This window comes from Homo sapiens, chromosome 21, assembly GCF_000001405.40.
Source record: "Homo sapiens chromosome 21, GRCh38.p14 Primary Assembly".
Lineage (NCBI taxonomy): Eukaryota > Metazoa > Chordata > Mammalia > Primates > Hominidae > Homo > Homo sapiens.
The window spans coordinates 43,902,930-43,916,103 of record NC_000021.9 but is presented as its reverse complement, the minus strand read 5'-3'; the positions used below and the strand labels follow the sequence as shown (position 1 = coordinate 43,916,103).

The following is a 13,174-nucleotide window of genomic DNA, read 5'->3' as shown; positions in this document are numbered from 1 at the left end:
ACAAACAATATTCCCTAGAAATTAGTAACAAAATCAGAAAACAGGGTTTTCTACACTGAAATTTAAACATTATCTTCTTAGATATTCCTCTTAAAGGGAAAATAGAAGTAAAAACTGAAGAATTTTTAGAAACCATACTAATAAAACTAAAGCAGTGCTTTAGAGGAAAATTTAACCCATTGATTACTTTACATCTTTAGAAATGAAAGCAAGACAGTAAGAGAATGAATGAAGCCTCCAACTTAAAAAGTTGAAAATTACAAAGTAACTGAAGGAATTAATAAATATAAAAGGAAAAAAATTTTTTTTAATCTTAATAGCTAAATTGAAATTTTTTTTAAATCAACAAAACAGTAAGCTACTTATAGCAGTTTTTAAAAAAAGCTAATCAAGGCCCAGCACAGTAGCTCACGCCTGTAATCCCAGCACTCTGGGAGACCAACGCGGGTGGATCACTTGAGGTCAGGAGTTCAAGAGCAGCCTGGCCAACATGGAGAAACCCCGTCTCTACTAAAAATACAAAAATTAGCCAGGCATGGTGGTGCATGCCTGTAATCCCAGCTACTCAGGAGGCTGAGGCAGGAGAATCGCTTGAACCTGGGAGGCGGAGGTTACAGTGACCCGAGATCGCACCACTGCACTCCAGCCTGGGCAACAGAACCAGACTGTCGCAAAAAAAAAAAAAAAAAAAAAAAAAAGCTAATCAAGAAAATGGAGAATAAAAATATACAAAATAAGAAAACAGGGCTGGGGGGCAGGCGCAGTGGCTCATGCCTGTAATCCCAGCACTTTGGGAAGTTGAGGAGGGCGGACTGCTTGAGCTCAGGAGTTTGAGACCAGCCTGGCCAACATGGTAAAATCCCATCTCTACTAAAAATACAAAAATTAGCCGGGCATGGTGGCGCGCACCTGTAATCCCAGCTACTCGGGAGGCTGAGGCAGGAGAATCACTTGAACTTGGAGGTTGCAGTGAGCCAAGACTGCATCACTGCACTCCAGCCTGGGTGACAGAGGAAGACTCCATCTCAAAAAAACAAAAGAGGAAATAATCATCAAAATAAAATACATTTTTTAAAAACTCACAGAAATAATTGCATATCTCTATGCAAATAAATTTTGAAATCTAGATAAAATGGATAATTTACTAGGAGAAAAATTAATTATAAAGTGTGGCCATGGAAAAGATAGTTTAAACAGAACTATCTTTATAGAATTTTATAGAATTAAGAAAGACTTGTTTTTACAGAATTAAAATATCTGAGTACTGGGCACGGTGGCTCAGGCCTGTGATAACAGTGCTTTGGGAGGCCGAGCTGTGAGGATCACTTGAGACCAGGAGTTCGAAACCAGCCTGGGCAACATGGAAAGACCCCCATCCCTACAACAAATTTAAAAATTAGTTGGGCGTGGTGGGGCACACCAGCCACTTGGGAGGCTGAGGCAGGAGGACTGCTTGAGCCCAAGAGTTCGAGGCTGCAGTGAGCCAAGATCGCACCACTGCACTCCAGCCTGGGAAGAGATTGAGACTTCAGCTCTAAAACAAAACAAAACAAAACAAAACAAAACAAAAAAAACCTCTACATGGAATCTCATATTTTAAAAAATTTTTAAATAAAAATAATTAAAATATCTATTAAACAGTTTTTTAAAATTTACCTCTAACAAAAGTACCAAAGGCAGATGATTTCACAAGTGAATTCTACAAATCCTATAAGAATAGACTATTTTAACATTAATTAAACTTTCCCAGAACATAAAGAAGGAAGACGTCCCAATCCCTTTAATGAAGCAACACTGACATAAAATTCACAAGGAGAAAGAGTGCAGAGGGAAGGGAAGAAGGAAATTTGTCTAAATCACCATCTCAAATTGTGGCGTAAGGACCCCAGGGGGCCCCAGGCCTCGCAGGCAGGGGGGTTCCAACAGCCTTCTTCATGAGCGCATAGCCTTGTGCAGCATAATTTTCTTTATGAGCCTCAACCACGACACAGAGCAACAGGCTGCCTGCAGAGGCAGAGAGACGTCAGCCGTGGCCTCTGAGGTCAGACATCAAAGAGACTGATAAAAATAGAAAACAGGGCCACTGTCCTTACTAATTTTGGAAACTATGGGTTTTCCTTACAAAAGCTGGTTTATCCCAGGACACAGGAAAAAAAATACTTTTTTGTATGCATTGGACTTTGAAATGAATTATTAAATATTTTTTAATGTTCTCACTGTTAATTTCTTACCTAGTGTATATCAACACCATATTAGAGGTCTCTCGACCTCGGTACTCCTGGCATTTTGGATGGGATAACTCTGCTGCAGGGCCGGCTGTGCCCTGCGGGATTCAGCAGCCTCCCTGGTCTCTGTGCATTTGATGCAGGAGTGACTGTCTCCCAGCAGCTGCCAACCAAAAACATCTCCTGCCATTGCCAAATGTCCGCCAAGGGACAAAGGGAGTCACCCCAGTTAAGGACCACAATAGCCGCAACTCAAAAGCAAAATCTCTTTGGGGTCCTCAATAATTTTTTTTGAGACAGGGTCTCGCTCTGTCACCCAGGCTGGGGTGCAGTGGGGTGATCTCAACTCACTGCAACCTCCACCTTTGGGGCTCAGGTGATCCTCCCATCTCAGCCTCCCAAGTAGCTGGTACTAGAGGCGTGCACCACCATGCCTGGCTAATTTTTGTATTTTTTTATAGAGACGGGGTTTCACCATGTTGCCCAGGCTGGTCTCAAACTTCTGAGCTCACCTCGGCCTCCCAAAGTGCTGGGATTATAGGCATGAGCCACCACACCAGGCCCTCAGTAATTTTTTAAGAGTGTAAACTGCCCATAGGTTTGAGAACCACTGCTCTTCATATGACTATGAATGCAAAAATTTCTTTAAAATTTAGCAAACAGGGCTAACAGCACATTAAAAAGTCAACACATACATGATGACCATGTGGATCTGTTTCATGAATGCAAGGATGGTTTGCTATGAGGAAATTGACTAACAAAGTTCATCTGATTCCTTAACAAGAAGGCTTGACAGGCAGCACAACAAAATTCAACCCTGCTTCCCAATAAAAACACTCAGTAAAGCAGGGGCCAGTACTAAATATTACACGTCCTCAATGTCTGCCTCTCCGAGGAGAACACATTCACTGAACTTCCAGTGAGGTGCTCATTCACAGGCCACAGTCAGCATTTCACTCGCTGGGCAAACACCGGAGGCACCGCAGCAACCGTCAGGGACAAGGCAGAGTGCCCTGTAGTTAAAGGCCAGCCTCGTGCATGCACAGCGATGGAATACCCACAGTAAATAACATTTGCAAACTGACTCCAGCCAGAACTTTACCAAAACATCATGACCACATATGGTTTATCCCGGGACACAGGAATGGTTTACTATAGAAGACCAATTAACAGGACTATTGACGATAAGTGATAAAAGGAGAAAAGCAACAGGATGATTTGCATTTAGACTCAGGAAAAGCAGATGCTGAAGTCCATGGCCACGCACCACTGATTAAGAAAGAAGTAGGCATGAGGCCCCGTTCCTCAGGGCACTTCCTGCAGCCACTGGCATAGGACGAGTAAAGGAGAGAAACAAAGATTGGAAAGAACAAAGCAAGCTTTCATCATTTGGACATAACACAATCATCTGCACGGAAAATCCACAAGTTCCTGGCCATGGCCAGAGCACCCCTGGTGCCCACGGGGGCTGCCTGCCATCCTCGCTAGGTCTGCGCCATGGCCAGCGCCTTCCTCAGGAGAAATTCATCCTCACTTGGGAGAGATGAGGAAGGGAGACAAGGCCACGATAAAAGGAGACGTGGCTCACATGTGCCCCACCCTTTGCTCGCGTGCCAGGATTGCCCCATGGCCCCGGCATCGTCCTCTGCCACTCTGGCAGGCTGGACTGAAGGCACACAGTGGTCCCATCCAGCTCGGGCCCACGTGTTGCCATGGACACACCTCCTGATTCCAATTCACATGGAAGTGTTGAGATGAACACTTACGGCAATGCTCAAGCTGAGCCTGTGAGGACGACTAAGATACCTCTAGGCTCCCAGTGCCACCATGCCCATGAGTCCGTGGAGTTCCACCAGGACCCCTGACCTAATGCCAAACCAGCAGAGCAAGATGCGCTGGGGCCCAGCCTGGAAGCTCCAGGGGCAGCCTTTGCTTTGAATTACATTCACCAAGAGGTAAGGGGGTGCCAGGCAGGCAGTGTCTGAGAGAAGACACACGCACAGACACACAGCAGCCTCGTGACTAGGCATGGTCAGACGAAAGCCACCGCCCCCGTCTCTGCTGGCCTGCACTTCAGAGGACTGCAGGGGAGCTGCTAGCTAATGAACACAGATGACCCGGTCAATAAAACACGCAGAAATGTGCATGCATAGAGCCCTTTACCTGTGTTCCAATGGGAGGAACCCCGTGTGGGATGTTCCAGAGCACAGCAGCTCCAGAGTGGAAAAGGAGTCTGCAGCCCAGGCCACGGAGCACCTAGGGCCTCCTTGCCACCTTTATGAACTTATGAACGGCACCAGACAGACAGAAAGAAAGAGCAGGCAGGAGGCAAAGTCTGCCTTCCAGCGAGGCGGCATCTGGGCCAGGCGGGGTCACCCAGAGACCAGGGAGCTGTGAGGGCCAGTGTTGCAATCTTCCCAGACAGGCCTCGCTGCGTTGGCCTGGACAGGCTGCTTCTGACCCTGCCCAGCCCCTCAATATAAGAGCGCAGCTCTAGGACACTTTCCAAATCACACAAACACAGTTCAAGTCTTTAAAGCACACTCGGGTTCTAGTAGACTGATAATCAGGTAACTGTGCTCCAAAACTATCACACGGACAGTTCTTACAATGCACATGTGTGTGTGTGCCTACAGGTATCTCTTTAGAACATGCATAAAAGAGGAAGTGTTTCTTTAAATGAAGTAGATCTATGTGTAGTAAAAGTTTTCCAAGACAAATTAAAGTCAGGTTTTGCAGAGAGATGTCATGACACGTAGGTGCATTTTTGGAAACTCTGTCGGTGTATGTATGTTCTTATGTGTATTTTTTATAAACTCTAGAAGGATAAACCACAAACCGCTTACAGTGGTTCCCTCCAGGAAACGGAGTGGGATGTGGAATGGAGTAAAGAATGCAATTTTAATTATTTATTAGATTTGGCTCTGTGTTTAATTTTCATAGGCATGTATTACTTTTATAATGAAAACATAAATATCAAATGGAAAATTAACTTGTGCGCCTTAACCTCCAACCCTCCATCTCTGCGGTGGTTGGAACAGTACAGCCTTGTCCTGAACACTGATGAGATTTGTTTCTTAAGAAAAAAGCTTCCCTTGCAGAATACCTGACTTCACGAGACACAGCTTGGCAGATCAAAGTCTGAGCCCTTTGCTCTCCCCTCATATACATCACACTTCAGAGCACAAAGATAATTCCTCCTCCCACACACAGCAAAGATGTAAGAACTGCAGTGACCGGAACACCCACCTCCTCCAGTCCCCCGTGGGCATACAGCACACTTGCTTCCAGAGGGAAGGCCGGCCCTCCTCGGCCCTCCGCTCCACCTTCACCTCACTGTATTAGGACTTCACCTAATTCACTTAATTCACCTAATTAGGACTAATTCACCTGTATTCACCTAATTCACTAATTCACCTAATTCACCTGTATTAGGACTTCACCTAATTCACTTCACTGTATTAGCACTTCACCTCCTCCTTCACCTCACTGTATTAGGACCCTAGACTGCTGCTGGCAATACGCGCGGCCACAGCCGCTGGGAGACACCTGTGGCTCCACTCCCCTCCTCCAGGGCATCTGTCACCAATCTCTGCAGACCAGCACCCTCTCACGGGCGCAGGACCAGCCTGGCACAAACCTTTGGCTGCCATCAGGGCTGAACACGCACTCCCCAGAAAGAGGCCAGGAGCACAGAGGGAGGCCGTCTCCATCCCTCTCTGTCCTCTGTGTTCCTGAGATAGGTGTGAGTCACACCCTGCAGGCTCCCCTTCCTTGAGAACTCACGAACAGGGGGATCCCAGCCACGGGTCACGCTGTGGGTTTTAACCCGGAAAGAACAAGACACCACACACCTGCCTCACTTCCCCAGGATGCGTCCTAGGTCTCCTAAACTCCCAGTCCAGGGTGTCCTGGGGCACCCTGGTGCAGACCTGGGGGCTTACTCCTCACCACCACCCTCTCCATGATGAGGCCTGGGCCCCCCTCCCCACCGGGCTAGCGTTCAGATAGACCCTGCAGGACGGTGTACTAATGCTCAGGGCGGGGGCCCAGTGCTCCCTCACAGCTTCCCCCTGCAGCAGAGAACAAAGTCCCACCCAGTGGCTTCTCGGAGATCCACAGCCGGCCTGCAGGCCTGGGAGCCAGGCTCTCCTGCAACGAGGGCAGAGCAAGGAGAGACGAGACCTGAGACAAATATGATGGAACAGCACCGTCGGGATACCTTTCATTATCCAGGAAAGACTCAAGAACACTTTAAAGTCCTCTTCAAATGTGTATGAAAAGGCCGGGTACAGTGGCTCATGCCTGGAATCCCAGCACTTTGGAAGGCCAAGACAGGTGGATCACGAGGTCAGGAGATCGAGACCATCCTGGCTAACACGGTGAAACCCCATCTCTACTAAAAATACAAAAAAATTAGCCGGGCATGGTGGCAGGCGCCTGTAGTCCCAGCTACTCGGGAGGCTGAGGCAGGAGAATGGCGTGAACCCGGGAGACGGAGCTTGCGGTGAGCCGAGATCACGCCACCACACTCCGGCCTGGGCGACAGAGTGAGACCCCGTCTCAAAAAAAAAAAAAAAAAAAAATGTGTATGAAAAATGAGTGGCCCACCGCCGGCCAGTCCACTGCCTGCCGTGAAGGGGCCATGGACCGAGGGGCCTGTAGCTTCCGAGGAAGCCACACCAAGTGATGTCAGAGGATCGGCCCAATGGGGCCCTTGGAGCACCCAGACCCGGGAGGAGCCTTTCTTGAAGTTGGAAGAGTGAAGTCCCTTATCAGACAATGTTTGTTGTACAAAGAAAAAAAATAGTAAGTAAAAATTAAAATCAACGAATGAAGTCCTATTCAGGTGAGGCCCGCCTGCTCTCAGGGTTTTTCCCAGTGGCCTCTCTCTCCAGGGCAGGGCTGGCTGTGACAGGGCACGTAAGGACCCAGGAGCAAAAGACGCAGGCCAACCTCGGAGCACAGCAGGGGCATCCGGGGACCGTGTGAGCTGAGCCTGAGCCTGTACCCTCATCCAAAAAATGCAAACAACAGGGTTCGCTCCACAGGGATGGAAGGAAATGAAATGACGAGGGACTTTTGCAGCCTGGAGCTGGCAGGCCACCACGCTGACGCAGCACGGGCTTTGATCCTCGCCCTCATCAGTGAGCATCCTCTGCAATTAGCCTTTTCTTAAAGAACCCAAAGGTTTTAGAAGCTGCTGGCATTTCACAGTCCCCTGAACCTGGACACAGCCCTGAACCCGGAGCTGGAGGCCATAGGTCCTTTCTCATCCTTCTAGTGCCGCACCCACGGCTCCACTCCCCCTACCCCATGCCCTCACCTTCTGTCTATGCAAGAGCTGGGCTCCTGTGCCCATTTCACAGACAGGTCACCAAGGCCCAGGAAAGCAAATGCCTTGTTATGAATCACGGAGCGAGTCATACACACCGGGTTCCACAAGTTCCCAGCCCATGTGCTCCCCCTGATCGGGACACCTCCTTTCTGATCGAGAAGGGCCGGGGCTCAACACACAGGTCAGGTTGGCAGGTGGCCATGTGTGAACTTGGCTGGTTCCGCTCACGACAGGCATTCCTTCCCCAGAGTCCTCAGGGCTGGGGAGTGACCAGCCCCAACAAAGCTGCCAGCTCTGGATATCACCAAATTCACCCCAAGCCCTGGTATTTTGTGCTTTAGGGCACAAGTGAAGCTTGCCAAGTGCCTCATACAAGCCTTGGAAATCTCACTCCAGCTTTGGAACACACACACGTTTTTCCCACATAATTTAGGCTCTGAAGCATTCAGGTCTTCCAGCACACGGAAAGAGAAAGCGTCCCTGGGGTGCCTGAGCCAGCGCCCTCCTCCGAAGACCATCATCCCTTTGCTCTGCTATTACGGGAACATGCTTCCACGAGGGTGGGGACTACTCGGTCCCGTGGGGTCTCCAGCACACGGAGCCGTGCGACGGAGAGGGCGCGCAAACACCCGAGCAGGGGAATCGACAAACGTGTGGCTTTAACATGGTATCGGTCTGCTGGGTTTGGGGGTTTGGTTGTTGTTGCTTTTTGAGTCTGCTGTTTTGTAGAAGCCCGTATTTTTCACAGAGGGAATCAGATGAAACCGAAAACGCAAGCTCTTAGGAAGCTTATATGGAACGGTTTTTTTGTTGTTGTTGTTGTTGAGACGGAGTCTCGCTCTGTCGCCCAGGCTGGAGTGCAGTGGCGCGATCTCGGCTCACCACAAGCTCCGCCTCCCGGGTTCACGCCATTCTCCTGCCTCAGCCTCCCGAGTAGCTGGGACTACAAGTGCCCGCCACCACGCCCAGCTAATTTTTTGTATTTTTAGTAGAGATGGGGTTTCACCGTGTTAGCCAGGATGGTCTCGATCTCCTGACCTCGTGATCCGCCTGCCTCGGCCTCCCAAAGTCCTGGGATTACAGGTGTGAGCCACCGTACCTGGTATGGCACAGTTTTATGGGAAACTTTTTGTTAAAGTGTAATAGATACAGAGAAGTACATAAATCTTCAGCATGCGGCTGGATGAAATTCCAGAGAGGATCCACTCTGACCAGCAGCACCCAGATCAAGAAACGAATCCCAACTACTTTGGGAGGCCGAGGCCGGCAGATGGGCTTGAGCCCAGGAGTTCAAGATCAGCCTGGGCAACATGGCAAAACCCGGTCTCTACAAAAAATAAAAAAGCCGCGTGTGGTGGCCCATGCCCGTGGTCCCAGCTACCGGGAGGCTGAGGCAGGAGGATCCCTTCAGCCCAGGAGAGCTCAAGGCTGAAGTGACCTGAGATCGCGTCATTGAGCTCCAGCCTGGGAGACAGAGAGAGACCCCCTCTCAAAAAAAAAAAAAAAAAAAAGAAAGAAAAGAAACAGACCCTCGCCAGCCCCTGAAGCCCCCTGGGCCTCCTTTGCCTCCTGCCAGGGCAGCTACCCTTCCTGTTCCCCCTGCCAGGTCTGCCTGTCTCTGTGCTGCACTTACGAGGGCCTTGCACATGTGCTGACCCACTGCGCTTCTTCCACCCAGCATGTGTGTGTCGGCTCGCCCAGGCGGAGCACGGGTGTCTCCACGCAGCTCATTCCATGCTGCTCCCCTGGGCAAGTAGCCGGCAGTGTGTTCACCCAGTCCACCTCCGCAGGGCACACAGGCCTGATGAACACGGCTCCGGCGACACTCCTGGCTGTGGGTTCACGCCTCAGAGCAGAGCTGCTGGGTCACAAGCCATGGGTTTGCTCCGCTTTAGAAGATATTGCCAAAGTTTTCCAAAATTAAGAGGTGAGGTCACAGCCACCATGAGGAACAAGCGTCCCATCACGCCCCATCCCACCTCCTCATCAACTCTGGCCTTATCTGTCTCGTTGGTTTTAGCCAATCTGCTGACTGTCTAGTGATACAACATTTCTGGTTTAAAAAGTTCGTTTCTCTGATAACCAATTGAGTTGCATGCCTTTTCAGATGTTTATTAGGTATTTGGGCACCTTTCGAGAGGTACTGGTGCAAGTCATGGACAAACATTTTGCTATAGATTTCGATATTAACACTCACCAGCTTGGGCGGGGGGGAGCTGCAGTGCCACACCGTCTGCTTAGTTTTGCAACCTCTCCTCCCTCCCAAAAGTGATACGTGGCATGCCATCACTGACAGTCACCCGGTTTGGTGAATATCGAGTTACTCACCCTAGAAGCTTGGTTGTAAATCGGATTTGGGTTGTTCTGCAGCTACTACTAGCCCCAAAAGACACAATGTTTCCAACCTGCCCTTCTTTCTGTTCTTTTTCCTAGACCTCAGTTATTACAGAACCGTGATGTCCCTGTCCCCAGAAAGGGAACAAAGGAGATCAAACCGATTTCCATCTTCATCTTCTCAAAATGTCCTCCTTCTGGGAGAGGTCTGCTGATGCCTGACGCGCCTTGGCCGGTTTCTCCCCTAGAAGCAAAACCTCATCCACAGCACAAGCCCACGTGCGCCACACCCTGCACCTGACAGATCAGAAGCCCTCTGGCCCCCCAGCCCTTGCTGGTGGCCTTCCCACAGCCCTGTGGTGACTGCAGAAGCCCCATGCCCTCCTCTCAGCCCTGAGTACAGTCCAACAATAGCCAAAGGACAGGCAGAAGAGCGGGAATGCAGTGAGAGCTGAACTGGGGGGTGCAGGACAGTTCAAGTTTCTTTTGCACAGAATAGCAATTTGCAACAATTTAACAGTTTAAACCACAGGCAAAGTATTAAATCAACAATGAGCAAACCCAGCAAGTAAACTTTTGTGAATCCAGAATGTTAGAGGACAGCTCAGAGTGCCAGTTAGCTGGGAGCTGCCACTGTGTCTTTATAGTATCGTTAGTATCTTCATAGTTATCTGCTATCAAATAAGCAATCTTAATAAAACAATCCTAAAGAGACACTAGGCCGGGCGCAGTGGCTCACGCCTGTAATCCCAGCACTTTGGGAGGCCGAGGCAGGTGGATCACGAGGTCAAGCAATAGAGACCATCCTGGCCAACATGGTGAAACCCCATCTCTACTAAAAATACAAAAATTAGCCGGACGTGGTGGCGGGCGCCTGTAGTCCCAGCTACTCAGGGGGCTGAGGCAGGAGAATCATTTGAACCTGGGAAGTGGAGGTTGCAGTGAGCCGAGATCGTTCTACTGCACTCCAGCCCGGGCGACAGAGCCAGACTGTCTCAAAATAAATAAATAAATAAATAAATAAATAAATAAATAAATAAATAAATAAATATTTTTTTTAAAAAAAGAGACACTAAATACAGTCATTTTAATTTGAAAACTATGGAGGCATTCAGCACCCAGCTCAGATGGTCAGCAATGCTGTTTGAGGTCCGCCATGACTACATCTCTGAAAGCCCGAGCTTGGTGTTGGTCACTTCAATCTTGCTCATGTTTGTTTTTATCAAATGGTAGCTTTCAACACACCCTGGGTTGTGACTGGGACACAGAAGGCTAAATCACCTGCCTACCAAGAACTGGGCCTGTGAGTTACACCTGGAAGCCTTGGAACATCAGGGATGGGATTTGATCTCTGCCGACAGCATTTGGAGGAGACACCTCCTGGGTAGAAAGCAGCCACAGTGGGAGAAGGACACAGGGTCCAGGGCCACCCAGAAGGGACCTGCAGCCTCATCAGCCACAGCAGCGGGCCTGGGAACGGGGGTGGAACACATGGGAGCAGTGGGCAGGGGCCCTATGACGACGGGCTGCAGGAGCACAGGAGGAGCTGCCCCAACCCTGGGCCCACCCAGTGACTCAACGGCCAGGCAATTCCATGCTCTCCACCAAACCCAGGGCTTCCTGAGGAGCGCGTCCCCCAGGAGCAGGGCACCAACCCCCAAGAGCAGGGCACCGACCCCCCAGGAGCAGAGCACCCTCCAGCAACAGATAGCTGGGCTCCCCACGGGGATTGTGCAGCTGTCCCCGGGCCACACCTCTGCCCCATCCCAGACAGACGGCTCCCAGTCGGTCTCCAGGAGAGGGGTGGACTTCCTGGGCTGCTAACAGAGCCGGGGCAGCCCTGTGAGGTGACTCCCATGTCCGCTGTGCCCTGGTAGGCGCCTCAGCCCAGCGTCATTTGTAGCTCAGCCCCTTTGAGCTCAGCTCATCCCTCGCAGGAAGAGAACAAAGTTACCTGAACTTTATCATCTGGGTTTTGGACAAATGAGAAGGGACTGTAATAAATATTCTGTTGGTCATAAGCAAAGGTTAAAATATATACCTTTAAGAAAAATTAATCAACAAGGTATCAAGGCCCAACGCTGACCCCAACACTGGACACATACACACACACACACACACACACACACACACACACACACTCTCACACACGGCGCCCTGCGTCAGGCGGCCTCACTGCCCACTTACCAAGGCACAAGGTCAGCAGAGCCAGTGGGAACAGCTGCCCTCAGGGCTTCCGGCTGGACAAGCCTGAAAGTGAAAGGCACACATGTCAACGTGCTTGCGCAGGACTGGAGAGACGCCGTGTGACCAAATATATGCATCCACTTCAAAACCCGAAAGGCTGCATGTCAGGGAGACTGACAAGCACGCATTAACATCCTTTCCCGATCAACCAAACACTCCGTCACTTAAACATCAGGGTCAAGGCCATTCAGGGCATTGCTGGCACGCTGCTTCCCACTGCCTGGCCAGGAGGCCCAACAGATGGCTCATAAATGAACAGTCCCGGAGCCGCCAGAGGTCACGCCCCAGGAAGGACACGGAAAAGCCACCCAGCCACCTGCAGGCTCTTGGAAAGGCGGGGCCACCATGGGCCCCTCCGGATGCCACAGCTCCTGCGACAGCTACACCAGCCTTACATGCGCTCCCGCTGCTTCCCAAAGCCCTGCCAGCCGCAGCCCTGGGCTTCTCCAAAATCCAGCCCAGCCCAGCCCCCGCCAGCAGACCATTAGCCTGCCTGCCGGCAACCAGGAAAAAGCCCGTGTTTGCTCATTTGTGTTACATTGTGGTGACGTCCACTAACATAAAATCCACCATTTTTAGGTATGTGGTTCAGGGGCTTTATGTCCATTCCCACTGCTGTGCAATCATCACCCCTGTCCATCTCCAGAACTTTCTCATCTTCCCAAGCAGAAACACTGTCTCCATTAAACACCTACTCCCCATCCCCGCTAGCCCCTGGCACCCACCATCACACTTTCTATCTCTACGAGTTAACCACTCTAGGGACCTCATATAAGTGGAATCATACACTATTTGTCCTTATGTGACTGGCTTATTTCACTCAGTATAATGTCCTCAAAGCTCACCCACTTGGTGGCAGGTGTCAGAATGTCATTCACATTTCAGGCTGGATAATATTCCACTACAGACACTATGGACTGAATGCTTGTGTCCCCCAGCTACAAATTCATATTTTTTTTGAGACAGGATCTCGCTCTGTTACCCAGGCTGGAGTCGCCGTGGCACAATCACCGCTCACTGCAGCCTCAGT

At 50.2% G+C, this 13,174-nt stretch overlaps 1 protein-coding gene across 13 annotated transcripts in view, besides 1 other annotated feature; it reads right to left on the bottom strand.

Annotated features, from left to right (window-relative positions):
* The window catches only part of AGPAT3 (1-acylglycerol-3-phosphate O-acyltransferase 3), a 122,370-nt gene that overhangs the window by 71,489 nt on the left and 37,707 nt on the right, over window positions 1-13,174 (bottom strand). For 9 of the 13 annotated variants that reach the window (XM_047440916.1, XM_047440915.1, XM_047440923.1 and 6 more), the window contains one exon: window positions 12,085-12,147. The exons of the other annotated variants lie outside the window; for them this stretch is intronic. In XM_047440916.1, the coding sequence (XP_047296872.1) occupies window positions 12,085-12,147 (63 nt within the window). The remainder of the gene's footprint in view (window positions 1-12,084; window positions 12,148-13,174) is intronic. 13 annotated transcript variants of the gene reach the window in all.
* Window positions 7,231-7,732: an enhancer, noted in NCBI's record as "H3K4me1 hESC enhancer chr21:45328253-45328754 (GRCh37/hg19 assembly coordinates)". NCBI's record gives its function as "activates a minimal SCP1, AML or CMV promoter by ChIP-STARR-seq in primed H9 embryonic stem cells {active_cell/tissue: H9 hESC(primed)}" and the evidence as "EXISTENCE:reporter gene assay evidence [ECO:0000049][PMID:30033119]".